This window comes from Homo sapiens, chromosome 3, assembly GCF_000001405.40.
Source record: "Homo sapiens chromosome 3, GRCh38.p14 Primary Assembly".
Taxonomy (NCBI): domain Eukaryota; kingdom Metazoa; phylum Chordata; class Mammalia; order Primates; family Hominidae; genus Homo; species Homo sapiens.
Window position 1 is genome coordinate 178,732,719 of NC_000003.12, and position 25,196 is coordinate 178,757,914.

Consider the following 25,196-nt stretch of genomic DNA (forward strand, 5'->3'; position numbering starts at 1 on the left):
ATTTAAACAAAAATATACATGAAACAAAGTTGTGTATTGATCTATTGATGAAAATGTGACCAGAGGCTCACAGGAACCTAACTCTGTATTTCCTCCAGGAGTCATGGTTTAGTACTCGCTGGCTCAGTGTTCACAGTGGATTTATGGAACGTAACTACCACAAATAATGAGACGAGGCTATCTTACAAATGTAATCACATGACTCTGGGATTCACTTTAAAATAATCTGGGATGAGGAGCAGTGATGGGGGATAAACAGCAAAAGACAGGCCATAGATGATGATAGTTAAAATTGCGCAATAAATATTTAGGGTTTCATTGTACTCTACTCTTGTGTATCTTTGAAATATTCCATAATAAAAAGTCATAAAAATAGAGTAGATAAATGGGGTAGAAATTTTAGCAGGTAGGCAGCAAAGTTTACAATTTCAGTTAAGATGGGCAGGTGACATTTCAGAAAGAGGTAAGAGAGTTGGCCATACAGATAGTTGGAACAAGAGCAATCAAAGCAGAGAGAATTGTTGATGCAAAGGTCCTGAGGCAGGACATCACTGATATACTCCAAGCACAGCAAGGAAGCCAATGTGGCTGGAGTAGAGTGAGCTGGGGCAGATGAGATCAGAGAGGTCACGAGAAGTCAAACAACACAGGACATCATAGGCCTTTGTAAGGGGTTTGACTTTTACTCTGGATTGAATAGGCAGCCAATGGAAAGTTTTGAGAAGAGGAGGGATATAATCTGATTTAAATTTATTTTATTTATTTATTTATTTATTTTTTGAGACAGAGTCTCGCTCCGTCGCCCAGGCTGGAGGGCAATGGCACGATCTCGGCTCACTGCAACCTCCACCTCCCAGGTTCAAGTGATTCTCTTGCCTCAGCCTCCCTAGTAGCTGGGACTACAGGTGCATGCCACCATGCCCAGTTGACTTTTGTATTTTTAGGAGGGATGGGGTTTCGCCATGTTAGCTAGGATGGTCTTGATCTCCTGACCTCGTGATCCACCCGCCTCGGCCCCCCAAAGTGCTGGGATTACAGGCATGAGCCACCGCACCCAGCCCTTAAATTTTTAAGTGATCATCTGGTTTCTGTATTGAATCTAAACTCTAAACTATGAAAAATTCACAATAAAAGCAAAAAAACTCAGAAGAACATTGTAGTAATGCAAGTAAGAAATAATGGTAGCTGGATTGAGGTGTTGTAGCAGTGGAGGAGGTGAAAAGTGATTGAATTCTAGGTGTATTTTAAAAGCAGAGCCAATAATAGGATTTTCTGACCAGTTGGATGTGGGATATGAGAGAAAAGAAGGATCAAAATTCTGTAGCTGAGCAACATCTACAGGTTGAGTAGCCCTGTGTTTCAAATTTCAGATTTTTTCAGGTTTTGAAGCATTTGCATATACATAATGAGATAACTTGGGAGGGTGCCCAAGTGTAAGCCCAAAATTCATGTATGTTTCATATGCACCTTATACACATAGGCTGAAGGTAATTTTAGACAATATTTTTTACTAATTTTGTGCATGAAACAAAGCTTATGTTAGTACCTATGTGTGAAGTTTTCCACTTGTGGCATCATGCCTTCACTCAAAAACTTTTGGATTTTGGAGCATTTCGGATGTTGGACTTTCAGATTAAGGATGCTCAATTGTATCTTGTTTATTTTTGTGCTTCCTCAGTCTCCCTTCACTAAAATAAAAACACCATTAAGTGCAAGAACTTCAGCCATCTGGTCCACTGATATACCTCTGGCACCTGGCAGAGAGCCTGGCACATAGTAGGTGCTTAGTGATACTTGTAGAAAAAATTAGCTGCACAGCTTGTCTCTGCTTGAATGTTGGCATGCACAATTCTAGCGTTACCTATTATTTTGTCCAGTCTTTAAATTCCTGACCCAAGGTGTGAAACCACTTGCCTGTGTTCAAAGAACAGGTTAAGTGGCAAAACCAGGTTTTAGACCCAAGTCCTCTGATTCCAAATTTGGAGCCAGATTCCAGAAGAATTCTCCATTCTAATCCCACCTTCTTCCTACAAGTCAAAGAACCGAGTTAACTGGTGTCTTCAATCAATTGATTACAGTATATCTATTAAAAGGCCTACCAAGAACCACTTTTGTCTCATTTTTAATGACTTCCAAAGATTCCCACAAACTCTCACTAACGTTCATATTCAAGTTTTCTGAAAATCCTTATTCTTGTATGCCAGCTAAGATCTTTTCACCTTCATAAATCTCTGCCACAATTAGCCCATTATCAGATCAATATCCTCATCATGATTTATCTCTGTAGCAGAGTAGTGAATAAGACTAGGGAGTCAGATTTACCTTCTTAGCAGCTCTCCTGCCCTGAATTAAACAGGATGCCCCAGCATGTTGCCTTCTGCTACAAGCTTTAGTGTCTGTCTGTAAACAAACCCAAGTAAGGTTGAAAAGCACTCCTTATGAAGTAAGATAGCCAGAGAGTGACAGGGATGCCACACCAGAGAAGCTGAGCAGTCTGCCCCTGGGCAGCATCCAGTCTGCCACCCACCAGCTGGTCAGAACTAAGGCAGGACAGAGGGACACAGGAGATGGCCTGGATCACAGTTCTCAAAACAGTATGACTTCACTCCAGGGTGCCAAGAAAGGCACCAAAAATAAAAACTAGTAACAACAAAAACCCAAAGCCTGCAAATCGGAGTTGCTTTCTACCTATAAATAGAGCAGATTATCTGCATAATATCCAGTTCACTCCTTAGTATGCGAGCCAACGCACACTCTGAAGAGTCCTGGCTAAGGGGTTGAGAGCCCAGTTTTGGAGGGTGTGTTTAAAACAACCGAGTTCAAGTTCCAGCTCCTTCACAACTCACTGTGCCATGACTTTTTCTAAGCTCAGTTTCCAATCTTTACATATCTAAATCAATACATATCTAAAGTGGAGGTAAGCTCTATTTCTGAGCATTGTATACATTTTAAGTGTGATGATATGCATACCAGGCTTAGTACTGGTACATGTAACTCCTTGATAAATTGTTTCATGGTTATTGTTACATCTCAAAAGACAGAGCAGAATCAGTCAGAAGTGCAAGAGAAGAGTAAGGATTAATGGAAAAGGGGTTGGAAGAAGAGACTCACTTTTTCTATGTAATGAGAGTCAGCACCGTGCTTGATGACAATAGCACAGAGGGACAGAGACAATCCCAAGAACACAAAATACAGATGTGTCTACCATCAGGGATAATTCAACTATGTCCAGTAAAATGTTTATAGGAGTACAAATAAAGTCTGCCGGTTTTTGGTGTCTACTACACATTTGGCACATTTCACACATCTTTTTTAATACTCATAACATACCTGACGCTCAGAGGAGACACAAGGATTGCCCTGGGATTCCAGACTAGTGAGTGATAGAGCTAGGCTGCAAACCCAACACTCCCCTGGACGCTGAATAAATGTCTTTTCCAGAACAGCATGTTTACTTGAAACTAGTATTTCAAATATGGCAATAAGAAAACTTTCAATTACATTTCATAAAACAGAACAATCTATGTCATGCTGCTTATGAGGACTCAATAACCTTACTTAAAAGATAACCCATCTAAACGGGTTAATTAACCATTTAAATACCAAGGCCATGATGAATGTTGGCTTTAGATCTTTAAAGGGCCTGCTTCTGAATTCTGTACCTGTTTTGCTAGACTGAGACTCCTGCATTCACACCCACTCAGACTGTCTCACCAAAGAACAGACTGTGCTCTCCTTTCCAGACCTTTTCACTCTGCAGCTAAAGAGGAATGTCTAGGACTAAGCCCCACAAGCTATACAAACTCCTGACACAGCGCCAGGGGCACATTCACCTCTGCCCACGCTGTAACCGGTTTGATGGATGGCTTTGGATGACATTCAGAATGGGCACCAGCTTTCAGAAGGAGGGCTGATAAAGCAGCCTCTTTAGAAACATAGACCCCAAAGGCTCCTAATGGGCATACACAGGTGCCCACCACATAGAGTTATAGAAAATAAGTTGAAAAGTCTGAGTGAGAACTGATACTAATGAAATATGTTTAAAGCTAACAAAAAATGTTTAATGTTTTAAATTAATTTAAGTACTGGTGCCAAAACAATGACATATGATGCGTGAAATGTCCCTGGTCAGGTAATTATACAAGAAGTCTATGGATGAAAGACTGTCTAACCAATTTTATCAAAAAACAGCAAAAGTTGAAGTAAGACTAGCACCTAATTTTTTCCCTCCTGAACTCTGTTACTAAACTTTGTTACAATAGCATTATGGGCCAGACACAGCGGCTCATGCCTGTAATCCCAACACTTTGGGAGGCTGAGGCAGGCAGATCACTTGAGGGCAGGAGTTCAAGACCAGCCCGCCCAACGTAGTGAAACCTCATCTCTACTAAAAATACAAAAATTAGCCAGGCGTGGCGGTGCCCACCTGTAATCCCAACTGCTCGGGAGGCTGAAGCAAGAGAATCACTGGAACCCAGGAGGCGGAGGTTGCAGTGAGCCGAGATGTGCCACTGCCCTCCAGCCTGGGTGACAGAGTGAGATTCTGTTTAAAAAAAAAAAAATTGCATTATGGAAAATTTTAGTTCCATCTCTTCCCCCAAGATAAACCACTAATGGTGCTAGGTATGCCTTTCAGAATGCAAGAATAAAAACAGGGTTGTTTGTTTGTTTGTTTTTTACTTTTTAACAAACCACAGCCTAAGGGATTTCAGTTTAGGTCTCAAACTTCGTCCTTATTACGTTCTAGGAAATGTTCCTACATTTACATTACAGCACATTGTTAGTAGAATAAAAAATGAGACTGAGGAATATCAAATTTAAAACTTGTCTATAATATCAAACACTCAACCAACAACCATTTGCTAAATAATTTCCAAGTGCTAGACCTGTGCTTGACACTGAGGAAACAAAGGTGAATACAACATGGTCCCTGTCCTCCAGAAGCTTCCAAAGTAGTGCTGGAAACAAAGAATGTATACTTTAGTATGAAAAAAAGACTATAATGGCTTTGGTATAGTGGCTTAAGAGAGCTACACATAAAATGTAAGTTGAGGGTAATATCAGGAAAAACAACTCAGAGATGAGGATTACTCAGGATTTGATTAGAACTTTTCTAAGTGGATCCTCAATGTTATCACTTTTTCCAACGTAACCCAAGATATTCACTTTGAAGAGGGCTGTGAGATATCGGCATTTGCTAACAACACTGGTATTTAGCAAATACTCAACTAGGTATCAGTAAGTGTTTATTGACTGAATAGCTAAAAATTGTCAATATCCTCCCCCGACCCAAGAGATCAGAAGGTATTGGTGTTTCTGTTGTCAAGAGAAAGTCAGTGTATTTGCTGATTGATTAACCACTTTTATTAACCTTTAGTACTAATTTCCTTTCCTCCAGAACTCCTCCCCCTCCACTACTCCTTATCTCAATGAGTGACACCACCACCACCCAAGACAGAAACATAGCAGTAATCCTAACACCTTCTCACTCTCATTCTCACTCCCCATCTTTAACCCCACACCAAGTCTGCTCTTCAACTTCATTCCCACCCTTAGTCCCAGCCACCGGCATCTCCAGCCTTCTAACCTGTGCTCATCTATTGGGCCCTCCCTCCAACAATCTATTCTACTCTAGCAGCAAGATGGATGTTTTTACAATTCAAATCTGGTCATGTGACTCCCTTGCTTAAAACTATTACTAACTCCACACTGTTTTCAGAATACTACCAAAGATCCTCAGCATGGCTCCAAAGTCTACATGACCTGGCAGCTTCAGGTTGTACAACTCTTCCTCATTATTCAAGCATGAAACCACTGGTATTCTCTAAGTTGTTCCCATAAGCCAAACTTCCTTCTGTCCCAGGTCCTTTGAATATCTTCTTTCCTCTGCCTGGAACCCTCCTACCCAACTTAAAGCCCCATTTTTGACCCCAGGACAAATTTCACTTCCTGAGAAGAGCCTTCTCTTGACTCTCCATAGTAGATTCCTTCCTACACCCTAATTCTCCCCACTCACCTGCCTCCCAGCCCATTAGGCCCTCACAGTACTTTTCCTTCACTGAAACATAAACCCCTGAGGGCGGAAACTTTGTCTTTACCAGCATCTATAGTTTGTAATAACATACCGATGTCTGTTCTCCGTGCTCACCAAACTGTAAGTCTAATGAAGTCAGAGACTACGTCTAGTCCATGATGTGCCTGCAATGAATACCTACTGAATCAGTCTGTTTCCCAACATGTAGAAAATAATGCTGTGCAGGACAAGGGCATATATTTTTATAAAAATATATAATTTCCAGTGGTCAATTGATATGTAGTAAGGAAAAAAGTCATAAGATGAAAGGCTAGGGGCCTCTAGCTTAGAAAAATGTCCCTAAATAACAGAAAAAAAAAAAAACATGTATATCAGCAGGAGGTAGAAAGAGCATAAAGAGAGGATTCAGAAGTGGGCCAACCCCACTTCCATAACCCACAGGCTGTGTGACTTTAGGCTCTGTCACTTAACCTCTCAGTCAGCTTCCGCATCTATAAAACTAGAACAAAAACACTTACCTGCCCGCCTCAAGTGATAAGTTGAAGGAGAGACTTCTATGTCAAAGGAAAAGAGTTATACAAAAGTAACAGGCCATTATCATATAGCCATGGAAATCATATCTTCTTATTCCTGCTGTTTGAGTGTTTCAAAGAATTTACCTCTGGGGACAACTCCAGATTTTTTTATTGCAGAGATGAAAGGACTCCTCAAAGGCAAATGAATTATCTAGTTCAACATACTGAGTCTGACCAAATTTTCCAGCAAATTACCATGCTTGGTATAGGCTCTCCATAGGGCAGATAGAACTTAACAGGATATTGTCCTTTCCTTGAATTCAAGAGTGATTGTTGAATATAGTTTCTGAAGGTAGAGAAGCTAAATCTCTCTGACCTCCAAATCCTTTGGAAAACAGTGTGCTATTGAAACATAGTCTACAGGAAAAAGATGCCCATAAAAAGAGGTCACAATCTCTAACGCTTACTGGGGCAGGCAGGTAACATAAAGGTGAGAGGTGGTGCAAGTAGGCCTAAAGCATAAAAGAGATGAAGGGAATATATAAAACTTCTCCAAATCAGAAGAAAAGGGGATGCTATTAATAATTATGCTAGGTCAGTGGGAACAAACCAAGCTGTCCCAGGAAAACCAGAACACAGACTCACCCTGACACTGTGTAGCATGATCCTGCTGACATGGGACAGCTACTGCTCAGCTCCAGCTGACGTGGGAACACTAACCTACTCTTGACAAATCTTCCTATTTTTCAAGAAAATGCAGAAATTTAGACTTTTATGTAAAATTTTTTTGATTTGAAATGTCAGCAAGTGATTTTTTTTTTCCTTCTGCTGCTGCTTCTGCTTCGTAAACATTTTTTTCTTTTTTTTTTCAGACAGAGTCTTGCTCTGTCGCCCAGGCTGGAGTGCAATGGTGCGATCTCAGCTCACTGTAAGCTCTGCCTCCTGGGTTCACACCATTCCCCTACCTCAGCCTCCTGAGTAGCTGGGACTACAGGCACCTGCCACCACACCTGGCTAATTTTTTTGTATTTTTGAGTAGAGACGGAGTTTCACCATGTTAGCCAGGATGGTCTCGATCTCCTGACCTCATGATCTGCCCGCCTCAGCCTCCCAAAGTGCTGGGATTACAGGCATTAGCCACCACGCCTGGCCCCCGTAAACATTTTTTATTATAGATATTAGCAGTTGGTTAGATTTTCTTTATCTACCCATGATGTTCATAAATCAGTGCATCCACTATAAATAAGAAAGAAGAATGTGTTAAAGCTTACTTATATTCTTCCACATAATAATCTTAGGAGCTACTGTTAAGCTTAGTATGCCATACAAAATATATATTTAGGAAGCCTACTTGTGCTCTGTCTTTAAGGATTTTCTGTATCATTATTCACCATCATCACCATCAGCAGAGTTATTGTTCTCCAAGGAGATATTCTCTGTACCACTTTCTGCTTCGGTGGGAGAATCTTTGGTTGACTACCTTAATGAACACACATGTTGAGCACCTGCCATCTGTCAGGCACTGGGCTCTTTTGCATACATTACCTCATTTAAACTACCCAACATTATGAAAGAAAGATTCTTACTATCCTTCACCTTACAGAAGAGAACTCACAGGCTCAAAGTAACAAAACAATTTAATTTCCTGAACAGCAGACCTGGGATACAAAATCATCAATTCTTCACAAGTGACAAATTAAAAAAAGCTTAAAAGGGTATAAGGCTTAGAGGCAAGGAGAGGAGAAACGCATGAAAGCCCAAAAGTAAGGAGTGAGAGAGAAATATCCTCGACTGTCTGGCAGACAATAGGGCTCAACATTTGTTGAATTAATAAATGAACATGTTTGTCCATTTGCAGTTGAGGTCTTGGCATCTGTCACGTAAACAGAGTGTGTTTGGAGATGAACACACCTGTGTTTGAACATCACTTTTACCATGCATTGGAATGTGAATTTTAGTAGATATTTAACCTTGCTCACTTCATTCTCCCACCTATAAAATGGACATAACATCAACTTACAGGGCTGTTTTAAGAAAAAAATGGAACACCTGTGAAACACCTAGCACACTGTATGGCTCATAGCAGAAACCCAATGAATATTTATTTCCTCCATTCCTCCTAGAAGGAAGGGAAAATATCTCTTGTTTTTCTTTTTTCCACTGGCTTTATTAGTTTTCTACAAAGATCTCTTACCTCCATCACATTTATCCCTATCCCATGCTTCATTTTTTACTTCCCTCCCCTTAACTGAATCTGTCTTACCACCAACAGGTCATCCCTCCCTGTCTTCTACCAGGAAGATTCCTCTCCCCACAATCCTTTTCCTGTAGGCTGGGGTTAAAAGGGGAGGACATTGATCCTCTCCAGGCTTCCAAATGTCAATTTCAGACCAGGCGTCCACAACCTTCCTTCAGCTATGAGAAAGCAAGTTCTTCAAGGGTCAGACTTATCCTCCTCATGTTGGTGAGACCCCCAGCCTAGTGTGTAGTCTGGTCAACAACAGACCTTAGTAGATGCCTGCTGAGGGGATGAACTTGCCCTTATGAACTATTTAAATATTTCTCTGATAAATCCCAACTCTGCATCTACCCAAGGCTCATAGGATAGATTTAGTCTTCTATTTATTCTGGAGAAATCCAACATTAATGGGTAATGAATAAGCACCTATCTAGCTCCTAAGATTATTATGTGGAAGAATAAACATAAGCTTTAACAAGTTCTTCTTTCTTAACTATTACAGATGCACTGATTTATGAACATAATGGGCAGGTAAAGAAAGTCTAACCAACTGTTAATATCTATAATAAAAATACATTTGACTACAGAACGATAGCATTGAAAGTCATAGAACACCTTATAAAGGCAGTTTCACTGTCAGCATGTATTTCATGGAGTAGAGCCATTAAAACTACTCTACGGTTAATGGTTAGGAAAATCAGGCTCATTCATTTAGAAAGATTCAAATGATACTCACATTCATAAAACCTCTAATGGAATAGCACATTCTTTCAACAAGGGTGGGGGCTTTGTTTAAACGTGTTCTACACCTGCACACCTATGTCTTTGCTCTAGAGAAACCCCTCTGATCTGAGGCTTATTTCGTGCTGTAAGGATCATGGCTGTGGCAAAGCAAGTAACTCTAAATGACATTGGATTTGCCTCAAATTTTATTTCCATTTGACCCCTAATACATCACTATACAACTTATAGGAATAATAATTATTTTTGGTCGAGGCAAAACTAAAGCCAAAGTTTAAATATTCTTTGTTTAGATTTCTCAAGCTTGAGACAAAGATGTCAATTAAGCCCTAATAAAGCAAGTCTGTCACTGGTATAATTAACACCTCAGTTGAAACCTGAGCCTCACTTCTCTCCTCCCTGCACAGCAACAAGGCAGTCATCGGAGACCCCTTGTCAAAAAAATTCCCAAAGTGGTAAAGGCAGAAAAACGTACCTGTAGTACCAAACATATGGCTGGGGATGGGGTAATCTCTCAAAGGGTTTTGAGTTGACGGCCTCACACACCTTGGAATATTGCTTCAATATGGCTGTGGGGTATCATTTTTCATCACTGTGCTGTGTGTACACTGGCCAATAAATATGCAATCCAGTGACCTGACAGAGGGAGACTTGGTAAACATCACTAGGGCCTTGTCCAGGCTGTCTCAGAGGCCTGTGTGGTATTCAGGGTAAGGTAAATTGAATGATTTTTTGAGTCTGTGGCTGTTACAAGAAACACTATTTTGAGGGAATACCAAGGCCTGTGGGCAAAATGAGTGGGATTCCTAGAAGGGAAAGTAAAGGGAAGAAAAGTCTTAAGATAAGACAGTGTGGCCTCCATAGCAGTGTAGCAGAGTGTGCAGAAAAGGAGTCCAGGAGCCCTGTGACCATATCATGTAACAATGTTCTTGCTTGTCACACATCCTCTCCCCAAAGTTTCTGTCTCCTAGAAAGAAGTTGTAAGTGTCTGAATTATGCTAGGATAAATCTACTGTAGAAATGGTACACATAAATTTATATTTCTAGTTTTTATCAAGACAGACACAAAAACAGATTACGATGGTAACCTATCATGGCCATTGCAGATGTCAGATGATGCCCACCACACTTCCTCCTTAAAGCACTATCCTCTGAGGATACAGAGGCTCAGAGATACTCAGAGCAGCTAAGCCTTCTAATCTTCTGAATTTTCCCTGAGAAAAAGCAAGCATATACTCCCACGTGCTACTACAAGTGGCCTGACTCCCCAGGCTCCTGCTGTGTTGACAAAATTCTGCAAGCACAAATGGACCTGGTCAGAAAGAGCCCTGGTTACTGTAATTCCCTAATAGTGACATTTTCCAATCTCTGCGTCGTGTTGATCACAAAGTTCCTCTGACAGTAGAGTGTTCTGATAGCAAACTGTTTCAGCTGCCATGGTGGGGGGAACCACAAACACAAAAGCTTGAGCAGAAATACAGCCTGAAAGGTTGACTTTTCATTTACTTCTATCTCTGGAGCTCATGGCGCTATAAGCTCCAGCATTAAATTTTAAGCATTTGATGCAGGAGGATCAAGGGGAAGCCTGGGAAGTGTTTGGCTTCATCGACCGCTGGTCTTGCTATGAATTTTCAGCAAGAAAAAGAGAGGCATTGTTTGAAGAGAATGTAACATTGGACAGAATTAAAGCATCTATTTCTGGAGATTTGTGAAATATCATTAGCAAATTTTAGTTCAGAGGGTATAGGCATATGACCCTCAAGAAGGTCAGTATTCACTAGAATATGGTTTGCTATAGCGATAGAAGTTAAATCTTTTTTTAACTACCTGCAGAGATGGAAAGAGACTGTGAGCTCTTTGAAATGTCTATGATCAGGGTGAAATACACATAATATTGTAAGTTAATAACACGGTATTTCATGTTAAATGAAGCCATAATGGGGCTTTTATTGTTAGGCATTCTGCCTGATAAATTGTTGACATGATAAATATAGATTAATAACCTGAAATATCTTTTTGCTCCCTCAGTCCTTCAAGTAATAGGAATTTGAAACACTTATTTTATAACTATTGTACAATTCCTTCTGTTTTTCAACAAAAGGTCATTTTTCTATAACTATGTAGACTAGTGCATGAGGAATTAGTCATTGAAAGAAATAGTTATATCAGTAATTAGAAGAAAGCAGTGCTTTACATTTGTTTTACTCCAGTTTTTTACTCATTCTTTCAAAAAGTTATTTCAGGAACCCCTACTATGTGCTATGCTAAATGTTAGGTGGATGATGGTGACCAAACCAAACCAATCCCTGTTTCCATGGAACAAAAATCTTTGACAAACCTTGTTTCTTCAAGATAGAGCAAGGGTTGACACCCAGTGGCTCAGTGTCATGCTTGGAACAGAGGCTCACTGGAGCCTTCTCCTGAAACGGGAAACTTCCTGCAAGGACACATAGGATCTTGTGGGATCCGAAAAAAAAAAAGGATTAGGCATGGCCAGGCTTCCCAAGACCTGCAATGAACCCAGGGCAGCCATAAATCCCCACAGCCTGATTTTGCTCTTCTTACACAAGTTATCAGCCACTTCTAGGGCTCAGCTACTTTCTATTTGCCTGCTCTACATTCTTCTTGCTGCTACTCATCAATTATAGAGAAGCAGTGGAAGGTAATGGTGAACAAGCAGACTCTGAAGCCATAAAGCCCCACTTCAAATGCAAGCTTTGCCACCTACTACCTGTGTGACAGGAAGATGTTAATAAACCTGTATGTGCCTCAGTTTATTCTTCCACAAAGTGGAGATATTAATAAAATAATCCTCATAAAGTTGTTGAAAGATTCACTGACATAAATCACATAAACACTTAGTATGATACCTCTCAGGTAATAAGTCAAACACTGATTGTATTAGTCCATTTTCATGCTGCTGATAAAGACATACCCAAGACGGGGCAATTTACAAAAGAAAGAGGTTTAATTGGACTTACAGTTCCACGTGGCTGGGGAAGCCTCACAATCATGGCAGAAGGCAAGGAGGAGCAAGTCACATCTTACATGGATGGCAGCAAAGAGAGAGAACTCGTATAGGAGAACTCCCCCTTATAATAACCATCAGATCTTGTGAGACTTATTTACTATAATTGAGAACAGCATGGGAAAGACCCGCCCCCATGATTCAATTACCTCCCACTCGGTCCCTCCCACAACACGTGGGAATTCAAGATGAAATTTGGGTGCAGACACAGCCAAACCATATCATTCCACCCTTGGCCCCTCCCAAATTTCATGTCCTCACATTTCAAACCAATCATGCCTTCCCAACAGTCCCCCAAAGTCTTAACTCATTTCAGTATTAACTAAAAGGTCTACAGTCCAAAGTCTCATCTGAAAAAAGGCAAGTCCCTTAGGCCTATGAGCCTGTAAAATCAAAAGCAGGTTCGTTACTTCCTAGATACAATGGGGGTACAGCATTGGGTAAATACAGCCATCCCAAATGGGAGAAATTGGCCAAAACAAAGGGGCTACAGGCCCCATGCAAGTCTGAAATCCAGCAGGGCAATCAAATCTTAAAGTTCCAAAATAATCTCCTTTGACTCCATGTCTCACATCCAGGTCACGCTGATGCAAGAGGTAGGTTCCCATGATCTTGGACAGCTCTGCCTCTGTGGCTTTGCAGGGTACAGCCTCCCTCCCAGCTGCTTTCATGGACTGGTATTGAGTATCTGTGACTTTTCCAGGTGCCAGTGCAAGCTATCAGTGAGTCTACCATTCTGGGGTCTGGAGGATGGTGACCCTTTTCTCACAGCTCCACTAGGTGGTGCCCCGGTAGGGACTCTGTGTGGTGGCTCCAACCCAACATTTCCCTTCTGCATTGCCCTAGCAGAGGTTCTCCATGAAAGCCCCACTCCTGCAGCAAACTTCTGCCTGGACACCCAGGTGTTTCCATACATCTTCTGAAATCTAGGTAGAGGTTCCCAAACCCCAATTCTTGACTTCTGTGTACTGGCAGTCTCAATACCAAGTGGCAGCTGCAAAGGCTTGAGGCTTGCACCCTCTGAAGCCATGGCCCGTGCTCTACATTGACCCGTTTCAGCCATGGCTAGAGCAGCTGGGACACAGGGCACCAAGTTCCTAGGCTGCACACAGCTGGGGCCCAGTCCACTAAACCATATTTTCCTCCTAGGTCTCTGTGCCTGTGACAAAAGGGGCTGCTGTGAAGACCTTAGACATGCCCTGGAGACATTTTCCTCATTGTCTCGGGGATTAACTTTCGGCTCCTTGTTACTTATGCAAATTTCTGCAGCCGGCTTGAATTTCTTCTCAGAAAATGAGATTTTCTTTTCTATCACATTGTCAGGCTGCAAATTTTCCAAACTTCTATGCTCTGCTCCCTTTAAAAAACTGAATGCCTTTAACAGCACCCAAGTCACCTCTTGAATGCTTTGCTGGTTAGAAACTTCTTCCACCAGATAACCTAAATCATCTCTCTCAAGTTCAAAGTTCCACAGATCTCTAGGGCAGGGGCAAAATGCCACCAGTCTCTTTGCTAAAGCATGAAAAGAGTCACCTTTGCTCCAGTTCCCAACAAGTTCCTCATCTCCATCTGAGACCACCTCAGCCTGGACCTTATTGTTCATATCACTATCAGCATTTTTGTCAAAGCCATTCAACAAGTCTCTAGGAAGTTCCAAACTTTCCCACATTTTCCTCTCTTCTTCTGAATCCTCCAAACTGTTCCAACCTCTGCCTGTTACCCAGTTCCAATGTTGCTTCCACATTTTCAGGTATCTTTTCCACAGCACCCCATTCTACTGATACCAATTTACTGTATTAGTCTATTTTCATGCTGCTGATGAAGACATACCTGAGACTGCACAATTTACAAAAGAAAGAGGTTTAATGGGCTTACAGTTCCACATGGCTGGGGAAGCCTCACAATCATGCAGAAGGCAAAGAGGGGCAAGTCACGTCTTACATGGATGGCACCAGGCAAAGAGAGAGCACTTGTGCAGGGGAACTCCTCTTTATAAAACCATCAGATTTCATGAGACTAACTGCCATGAGAACAGCATGGGAAAGACATGCACCCATGACTCAATTACCTCCCACTGGGTCCCTCCCACAACATGTGGGAATTTAAGATGAGATTTGGGTGGGGACACAGCTAAACCATATCACTGATGTAGAATTAGCAAAATGCCAGCCACTGTTCTACGGGTTTATCATGTATTAATTAAAATCCTCACAACAATCTTATAATGAAAATTATCTCCATTTTACTATTTATTTACTATTATCTTCATTTTACTGACAAGAAACCAGAACCTTAGAGATGTTAAGTAAATTGCTGAAGATCACACAGCTAATAAGAATCTACATCCATTTCACTCCAAAACCTATGGTCTCAATGACTATGCTAATGTAATAACTGACTTAGTCTTGTCTTTGAGTCTATAAATCTTTTCTCAACCTCACTGTTACTTGATTGAAATGATCCTAACTTCGGCTCACCAAGACTTCTCTTGGTCCTGATTCTACCTCATGTTTCACTCTGTTTCCTATTTCAAATCCAGTTCATCTTTTTATGATAAACCTCCTCAAAGTTAGCTAGTTCACCTTATGACAGGTGTTCACCCTGAACCAGTTTTCTGTTGCTGTAGGCAGGAAAGTTACTTGGTTGAAATAGCACCAAATAGAGGAGTCTGTTTGCATGGCAGCAATATGATTGACATTTCTAATGTGCCCATTCTGCAGATTCAGCAACGAAGGTTTTTAAAAGTCTGATGACTAACCCAACTTCATTCCATTAATTGTCACCAAAGATAGGACTTCAATTTGGAACTTTTTACTCTGAGGCCAGTGAACGTTCCATATTTTCTCTGGATATTTCTCTCTGTTTCTAGAGGCCAAATTCTGCCTTGTTTGGAACCATCACTCAAAGTGACTATAGCCAAAATTATATTCAACAATAGCAAGTTAAAGAAATTGAGAAATATTCCATATCCTGGAGTTTAGTCTACTGTAAAATAAGTGTTTTGTTCACCCAAATATAATAAATTTGTTCTAATAAACATTTTCTCTTTCCCCTTATTGATTCCTGTATCAAGATTTCCTGCTTATGTCCTAAGAAGGGAGAAACTTTTCACAGCTCTGCCAACTCACAGATCTATAGATCTTATCAGCTCACATAGTCAGATGCCACTGGAGTGTTGGAGAAAAGACTCCCAGAATCTCCCAGAATAATCTGTAAAAATTCAAAGTTTAGAAAAGAACATTAATGGCTTATGAATGGGAATTAGGCAACATGAGATACAATCCTTTTTCCCACCCCTAAGTAGAGAGTTTGTATAAAAACTAATTCTCTATAACAAGATTAGATTTTAGTATGTACCTTTTCTTACAGGCCTGCAGGAAATATTCTGAACTTTATGCTTTTAACAATTTTGGATTAATGTTCACAAATAGAAGCTAGCTATTGAAAATTGAGAACCCCGCTATTGAAAATTGAGAAAATTGGTACCCCCAGATACCTTAGAACACAAACTATTTCTTAACTATCCTGAGACTTTGTGTCTTGGTGACCTATGTCCACTATGTTGAAATATTGACTGAGACATGTTCTCTGCTAAGGGAAGGAAGACAGGTGCTCATATTTAAGAAACTCAATAAATTTATCTCCTGTTGGCAAGTAATTGTGACCATAACAAAACAAAGATTCCAGTTTAGCAAATCAATGGCTTGTAATCTCAAGGAGAGCACAAGGAACTTTATTAATGACTTTCTTAATGGTTAAATGCTGTTTACCAAGTGACCCAGAGGCAGCGTGGTTTAGTGGTTTCAACAGCATGGTCCCGAGAGTCTGACAAACCTCAGTTCAAATCCTTCTTTTGTCTTCACTTAGTTTTTCTTCCTGAGATTTAGTTTCTTCATCGTTAACAATGAGGATATTAATATGTTTCACACAGTTGTTATGAAGAATGCATATATTAGAATGCCTGCAGAGAAAAAGAAAATAAATAAATGTTATTGCTTTCCTTTCTTTTCTCATGAGAGACGTTTTGTAAAACAAATTTCTACTACAACAGTAAAATTTGGCATCCATGATAATCTTATCTCATTTCAACTGGTAACACCTAGCACAAAGCTATAAGCCCCTAGAGATCTTAGAGAAGTTATACAATAATAATTCTAGTCCAACTTATTCAAAAGCTGGTTACACCTTTCCTTTCAACCTTTCCACTTCATCAGTAAAGTAAAGGAGGATGTTTCTGGATACCTATATCATAGTTGAGAGAGAAAATTTAATCTAGATACTGTTCTGTGCCATCTGCTCATTTCGTATCCAGCACAGCTCTGTGGAGGGCAAGGAAGCTCAAGTCTTTGAAGATATGATGCTGGCACTCACCAAGAATTTTTATAATTCGCATCTAGGAAATGCTTAAAGCAATACACTTGGATAATTAACTAACTTGGCATTGCTCAAAGTTCTGAGTGTGGAGAATTAATTAAAGGCAGCATTTCAAGTGTTAGCAAGGGGTAAATGGGGTGAAATTGTGACAGCTGAATTGAACAGATTGGAAAATAGATGTATGAATACAGAGGTAGCTGAGAAGTGTTTCTAACCTCTGGGAAAGCTGATTTAATTTACCACTCAGTATTTTCTTCTGCTCTTAATTTGGTTATGAGACCCAGAGTAACTATGTAAGATTGAAGACAGAGGCTCTTTCCCATGGGCATGGACATGAAAATCACAGTAGAACTACAGGAGAGCTTCCTTTAAGTAAGTATGTTGTGTGCCTTTAAGACACTAAATTTGTAGAGAAAGACACATCCATTAACCACTTTTAGAGCTCAGATGTGGGAACTCTTTCCTTATTGCTGAGGAAGTCACTTGGAAAAGAAGTCCAATGGGAATTAAAATAATCCACTTACTCTGCCAGTAAGATACCATGATCTTATTAGTCAATAACTTTGGCAAAAAAAAAAAATTAGAAAATAGGGCATGGTGATGTAGGTGTTTTGGGAAGGAAAAGAAAAGGAAGTAAAGTTTTGACTTTGACTTTTTTTCCCACAAATGAATCTAAAGTAGCTAATTATGAAGTCATTTCATGATATTATTTTACTCTGCGACAGCCTTCTACAAAAAAAAACAAAAACAAAAACAAAACAAAAAAACACTGCTCAGTCAATTCAGCTTTAAACAGTCTTCATTGATAAGGGCAATAGAAAGGCCAGTCAGACATTCTACTCTGAAGGCAGAATCCAACAGATCTGATTCCAGAGCCTGGTACATGGAGTTTCCCAGATAACTTTATCTGCCCTTGCCGTCGTCTAATCTAACCTAGGTAGAAGGAGTCACTTTGTCTCCTTTAGACTCACCTTGTCATTCAGCACACACTGCCCAGAGCATGCAGACAGACTTTTGCACCCGCATGGGCACAGAGTCAGTTTTCCCAACAAAAGTCCTGATTTGGCACTGCTTTTCAGACAGTAGGAGCTTATGGGGTACCCAGTTGGCAGAGCCTCATTAGGTAATAAGAGGGAAAACTTTTCACCCTGGCAGTCCTAAAGAGATGAATAATAATTCCCTGTGTTACTTCCTCATCAACTCCAGCAGGCAAATTAACTTCCTGCTTCATGTAATGCTCATGTTCTTTTAAATTCTGCCTGAGTACACCATAGCACTTTCTTCTCAATGGATCGACTTGTTATTTAAGGGAGGAGTAGATTAATCTACCCCCAGATATTAAAAAACATTCTCAGATATGCTGCCTAGAAACCCAGGATAGTTTTGCACGACTAATATAGACAACTCACATAACTAAATAGTTTGCATTTTTTTTGCCTACCAGGAGCATGGAAGCCATTCACTTATTCCCCATTTATTGAGTCAACAAATACTTATCTATTGATGTTATGTTTCAGGCATTATACTCTGCAAGACTGAGGCTTTCTTTTAGGTTCCAAGAAGACCAGAGTAAAGGTATACAAAGAAATAGTTCAGAGACAAATAGATAATAATAATCTTTTAAATCCTTCAAAATTAAAAGCAATTACAGCCAGGCACAGTAGCTCATGCCTGTAATCTCAGCACTTTGAGAGGCCAAGGCAGGTGGATCACAACGTCAGGAGTTTGAGACCAGCCTGGCCAACATAGTGAAACCCCATCTGTACTAAAAATACAAAAAATTAGCTGGGCATTGTAGCAGGCACCTGTAATCCCAGCTACTTAGGAGGCAGGAGAATCGCTTGAACCTGGGAGGCAGAGGTTGCAGTGAGCCGAGATCATGCCATTGCACTCCAGCCCGAGCAACAGTGCGAGACTCCGTCTCAAAAAAAAAAAAAAAAAAAAAAAAAAAAAAAAGCAGTTACAAGACACTACTGAGTAGATTATTTTAGAGCAAATGGAAACATGCTGGCAGTTCACAAAGGTACAATAGGGAAGAGGGAAATGTTTATTTGGAGAGTGTGCTAGAATTAAACTGCACACATGTTTTATTATGGGAGACAATCAATCCCTGAGACTGGATGGCTCATGCCAAGACTCAGCAACATAAAGTGTTGTGCCAACTTCAAACATAAAGCAACCAATCAATGGCTACCTTTTTTTGAGATCCTAATATATCCAGTGCTTTGCAGATGTTACTTCTCTTAGCCCTCACGGCAATCATTGAAAGAAGAAATTAGAATAACTTCCTTTTGGCCACCTGCCCAAGGAAGTTAACTGGTAGAAGCAAATTTAAAGTTAACACCCCAAATACAGAAGCAAACTCATGTTGCAAATGGTCACTGCCTGCCAAAGCCAACAGTATATGTGGGGAGATGAGCCCTACATATTTAAAAAGCTAAAAATATATGACAACTATGCTAGTTGTTATATAGCTACAAAGTTGAATTATTTTCTAAAGTTCGAGGAGCTTCCAATCTATTATATAAAAGGTATATTACTGATCTCATAATATAAAACAAATAAGTGTCAGAAGAGAACTATAAACATAGAATTGTTAGGAATAGCAATGAATTTTAGCTCGGGATAATCAGAAAATGACATTGAGCTGCGCCTTTAAGAAAATCAAACATTTTAACAGGTGGAATTTTTGACAAGAATGTAGGGCATTTGTCCTGGGAACATGGGAGCATATGACCCATTTTTGGAATGGTGAACAGCAGTCTGGTGTGGTTATAGTATATACAATTAATAAGGAAGTATAATGGGAAATGGTGTCCAAGGAGCAGGTTGGGACCACATTGTGGAGTGAGTTTATGGTCTATCTTGGAGGTAAATGGAAGCCATTAATGACTTTTAAGAACAAGGGATAATACCAGATGTGCATTTCATAAATGTAAATTAGAGAATGGAAAACTGGAGGAAAAACTGGAGAAAATACAGATCATACCCTGAGAGGCCAGTTAGAAACCTATTACTGTGGTGTAATCAAAAATACTGAAGTTAATGGTAGTCAGAGTAGAAGAGAGGGAATATCTTTCAAAAACACTTAATGGGCAGGATTTAGCCACCAACTGAAGGAGAGTAGAAATTAAAGATGACACGATATTGTCTAGCTTAAGTACTAAAAAGGATATATTTGAGAGTAAAGATAAAGTCAGTGAATAATCAGTCTGTATAAGAGACAAACTTAATGCATAGTCTTTTGGGGAAGCAAAAAACTAACACTGTGGGTTGGGGCTAGTAATCAGAATTCACCCAGAATTAGCCGAAATACTATGGGCCCCAAGCATTAGGATAATAAAGCAAAGACTTCTTTTTTTCTACCTTTCTTTCTGCTGAACTTGCATTTTATACTAGGTTTGCTCAACTCTCTGATCAGGTGCTTGCTCTCTGCATGTTATTGAGCTCCAACATCAGAAGTAAAATGATGAGATTTCCTTCCTCTGAAAATGTTACAGGATGTCAATGGCAGTCATGTAGTGATAGTTATGTCTGTAGTAACCGTAGTAATGACTTAACCTTGTAAAGCACTTTAAACTTTTTAAACACTCTAACACTCATTCATTCAACAAATATTTCTGGACCTCATTTACCACGGGAGGTAGCCACGATGATCACAAGTGTATGTTCTGGAGTCAGGCTGCTTGGGATTGAGTTCTGGCTCTGCCAAACACTGACTGTGTGACCTTGAGCAGTTCTTAACTCCTCTGTGCCATTTTCTGATCTTGTCTATAAGGTAGTAATAACAATCGTATTGGAAAAATGACTGAATGAGTTAATTCATGTAAAGCATTTACAAAAATGCCTGGGACTCTTAAGTGTTCAGTATGCTGTCATTACTTTCTATGAGACATTCTGGTGAATGCTTTAAAATGGCCAAGGGAGTTATCAAAAAAAAGAGTTTCTCTTATGAAGGAGCACAAAGTTATTGGGAGAAAATTAGATGGAATATAGAAAATTCCTAATATATTTTAATTGATAACTAAAAAGTATATATATTTATGGCATACAATGTGATGTGTTGATATATGTATGCACTGTGGAAAAGCAAAATCAAGCTAATTAACATATTCATTACCTCACATATTTATTTCTTTTGTGGTGAAAACACTTAAAATCTACTTTCATAGCAGTTTTCAAGAATACAATACATTGTTATTAACTATAATCACCATGTCGTAGGATGAATCTCTTGAACTTATTCCTCCTATCTAACTGAAATTCTGTATACTTTGACAAACATTTCTCCATTCTCTTGTCCCATCAGACTCTCATAACCACCATTCTACTCTCTGCTTCTATAAATTCAATGTTTTTAGATTTCACATATAAGTGAGATTATGCAGTATTTATCTTTCTGTGCCTGGTTCATTTCACTTAACATAATGTCCTCCACATTTATTCATATTGTCACAAATAACAGGATGCCCCCTTTTCATGGCTGAATAATATTCCATTGTATATATATATATATATATATATATATACACACACACACACATACATATATATATATATATCACATTTTCTTTATTCATTCATCTACTGATGGACACAGATCAATTCCAGTCTTAGCTAGTGTAGTAATGCTTCAATGAACACAAGAGACAGATATCTCTTTGACATACTAATTTCATTTTAGTTCATATTATCTTTAAACCAAACCTTCAAGAACTTGGTTATTTATCTTTGTACCTGATCTCACTACTCCACCCCCAACTACCACTGAAGTACTTAGAATAGTAGCCAGAATAAAGTTGGCACATCTAATAAATGTTTGCTAATCTATTTATTATGTGTCCAAAGAAAGATGCTATTAAAATGCCAATAGAATTCAAAAGGAAAGACTCTGTTCAGTTGGAGGAATCAGAGGTGCCCTTTGAATGACCACAGAGGAGGCAGCATTTGTGGTGCACTTGGATGAATCATTGAGATTTGATGTTATGTCATGCGCCCCCACAACAGGGGAGGTAGGTAGATCACATTCTCTAATCTGACGTTTATAGATGATACTTTGCTGTAACAAAGCATGAAGGCGAAGTGACTTGCTCAAGGTCACACTACTGTAGCAACATCAGTGGGCTAGGAACTGAGTGCTCCCAGCTTCTAGACCAGTTCCATCTGGTTGGGATGGCATAGACCCTGCAGCTTTACAGACAGCTTGTTTAGCACGTTTGGCCCTCATTCTGGGTTATGGGCTATGAACAGACTAAAGTTCCTCTCCCGCAGCCTCTAAGTGCCATTGTGCACTCCATGTTTGGGCATCAATCTGCCTTGCAGCCGTCATTGGCAATGAAATTAAAGCTCAGTGCAGAGCAGATGGACCATTTCCCCATTCTGGCAGGCACACATTAGGCTCCCCTACCGCATCTAGGAGTTGCTAACACCAGCAGCAAAGGAAGGGAAGCATGACCAACAGCTATGAGAGTGCCGTTTCCACGGCAGGCAGTGTCAGCAACTCCTCCATCTGGGGCAGCAGCAACAAGGAGACATGCCTGTGCATAGCAGGAGCACTCAAAAAACGCCCCATGAATGAACCTGGCATTTTGAATATAAAAAGGCTTCAAGATAGCCAATATGAGAAAAATCATAGTGAGAACTTCCTCACACTTACTGTACAGTTTCATATTATGTTTATTTTCAATTACACACCACACTGGGGGTGGGAAGCACCACTGTCTTTTCAGGTTTGACCCTTTAACAGTTGTGATCTGTTTCAATTTTTGTTTAAAGCTTAATGTAGAGTAGGAAAATGTATTTTACTATCTTTCCTTTGGTTGAGGTCATTTTAAGAACAAAAATACTTTTAACCTCTGTGGGACCATAGCCACCCTTTTGTATCAAGCAGGTAAAACAAAATGTCAATGTTATTGCTATGGTATTTTTGGTTTTGCCCAAATTATTTCAAATATTAACTTGGAGCAGACAATGAGATTATGTGGATGGCAAATTTTTGACATTTCCTAGGCTATGCAAAGGACATTCTCTGGGTTATTATTCCTTCACTTTTTTTCAAAAAAACTTTCGGCTATTGGAAATTTGACAAATTTAATTTCTTGGCATGGCTGTATCAACTACAATACAACCGTTTTCTGAGTTGCACTCAAACACTGTTCTCAAAACCAGCAGAACTTTTCAAAATTAGCCACATGCCTAAAATATTATATTTCAAGTCACCCAAGGCAGAAATACAGAAAGAAATTATGCCAGATATAGAATGAGAAACACAACAATGGAATGAGGAAGAATTTCAGACAATACTCAGTTGAGGTCAGGGTTCAGGCACTGCTGAGGAGGATATAAATTATTACAAACTTTCTTGCTGAAAATTTGCTATATTCATAAAATGAAATAAATGTCACGCAGCCATTAAAAATCATGTGACAAATCAGTTCAACTGGAAAGATGATCATAATGAAATGTTAAAATAGAAAAAAAGCAAATTATAAAATTGTGAAAAGCATGATCCCATTTTAATAAAATATACATATTAAAGGGTATATATAGATTTTCCACATGTGTGTGTATATATATGTGGGTGTGGGTGTGTGTGTGTGTGTGTATGCGTGTGTGTGTGTTTGTGTGAATAGAGAAAAGTATGTATATGGGCAGTCAATTCTCATTATTTGCATTATTTATGTTATGTAAAGTTGAATTAGCCACTATTCCTATGGGAAATAAAGAATTAGGTTTCTGTGAGCCTCTGGTCACAATGTTTCTGTCAACCAATCAAAACAAAACCTTGTTTTATGTGTGTTTTATGTGTGTTTCTGTTTGAAATATGACTTCATATATATTTTCACAAATAATTATATGCATTATTTCTTTATAATAACACACTAGTCAAGAAGAGTTTAAATTTTTCCTGAACCTGGGTAAAATGAATATAAATTTCTCTGACTTTCAGCCTCAGAACAATGTTGTCCATTATGCCTATTTTTATCAGGCATCATCTCATGAATCCCAAATTCAGCCATTTCTCCCTTCCATAGCTTTATCAGGCACTACTGATGCTACTTTAGCACTTTCCAGAGCAACCTCACCTACAGGCACATATCAGCCAATTTCCTCTTTCTTTCTCTGGATGTACCCTATTGTGGATTGCTTAGCATTGGGCTTAGAGTTAACAGCATTAAAACTCATGCCTGAATGAAGCTTATCTAACACATGCATTTTTTCCATAATGCACATCACAGCTTTCCTGAGCTTAAAAACACTGGACAGCACTTCAGCAGTACTCTTGGGAGCGATTTTAAAGAGAAAAATTGCCAAGAAAAAGTACAAAAATGGGAAGAAGTGGCACTAAAGTGACAATGAAAAAAAATTCTTGGAAATATATATATATGTATATTTCAGAGCCTTTCCTCATTACACCCATCCTTGCTTACCTCTCTTACATTTCCGCCCCATCTTTGTTTCTTCTTTCTCCTTAAGTTTATTTCCTTCTTGTAAAAGAAAATTTAGCTAAGATTGATAGGTTCAAGAAGTAAAACCAAAAAAAAAAAACAGTTACAATCAAAAATTACCAGTGAAAATTGTGGTACACACATACACACATATATATATACACGTGTGTGTGTGTATACATATATCCAAGAGGATATATATATATATATCCATCCAAGAGGACATATATATATGTATATATATCCAAGAGGATATATATATATATATATATATATCCAAGAGGATATATATATATGTATATATATCCAAGAGGATATATATATATGTATATATATCCAAGAGGATATATATATATGTATATATATCCAAGAGGATATATATATATGTATATATATCCAAGAGGATATATATATATATGTATATATATCCAAGAGGATATATATATATGTATATATATCCAAGAGGATATATATATATGTATATATATCCAAGAGGATATATATATATGTATATATATCCAAGAGGATATATATATGTATATATATCCAAGAGGATATATATATATGTATATATATCCAAGAGGATATATATATGTATATATATCCAAGAGGATATATATATGTATATATATCCAAGAGGATATATATATATAAGAGGATATATATATATATCCAAGAGGATATATATACATATATCTTATATCCATCCAAGAGGATATATATATACACATCCATCCAAGAGGATATATATATCCAAGAGGATACATATATATATCCAAGAGGATACATATATATATCCAAGAGGATACATATATAT

General features: G+C 39.0%; 2 protein-coding genes and 1 long non-coding RNA gene across 8 annotated transcripts in view; 1 reads left to right on the forward strand and 2 right to left on the reverse strand.

The window, feature by feature from the left end:
* The window catches only part of KCNMB2-AS1 (KCNMB2 antisense RNA 1), a 334,939-nt gene that overhangs the window by 207,252 nt on the left and 102,491 nt on the right, over positions 1 to 25,196 (reverse strand). Inside the window, exons 3-5 of one of the 2 annotated variants that reach the window (NR_126560.1) lie at positions 24,362 to 24,415; positions 16,328 to 16,518; positions 15,686 to 15,767 (exon numbers count right to left, since the gene is read on the reverse strand). This is a non-coding gene — a long non-coding RNA (KCNMB2 antisense RNA 1). The remainder of the gene's footprint in view (positions 1 to 15,685; positions 15,768 to 16,327; positions 16,519 to 24,361; positions 24,416 to 25,196) is intronic. The other variant, NR_126561.1, reaches the window with a different exon arrangement.
* KCNMB2 (potassium calcium-activated channel subfamily M regulatory beta subunit 2) overlaps positions 1 to 25,196 on the forward strand; it is a 307,994-nt gene that overhangs the window by 196,283 nt on the left and 86,515 nt on the right. The window lies entirely within an intron of this gene.
* Positions 7,338 to 18,887, reverse strand: LOC124909461 (uncharacterized). 2 transcript variants are annotated; one of them, XM_047449427.1, is made up of 2 exons: positions 16,392 to 18,887; positions 7,338 to 15,767 (listed from the first exon to the last, which is right to left on the reverse strand). In XM_047449427.1, the coding sequence occupies exon 2, from the start codon at positions 14,299 to 14,301 to the stop codon at positions 13,225 to 13,227; it is 1,077 nt and encodes a 358-aa protein (XP_047305383.1). In that variant the 5' UTR covers positions 14,302 to 15,767; positions 16,392 to 18,887; the 3' UTR covers positions 7,338 to 13,224. The 2 variants fall into 2 exon arrangements, with proteins under 2 accessions (XP_047305383.1, XP_047305382.1); XM_047449426.1 differs by having other exon boundaries at positions 16,328 to 18,881.

What these genes read in the sequence shown, in the direction of transcription:
- LOC124909461 (XM_047449427.1), bottom strand. Translation starts at nt 14,301, where the DNA reads ATGTGGAAGCAACATTGGAACTGGGTAACAGGCAGAGGTTGGAACAGT.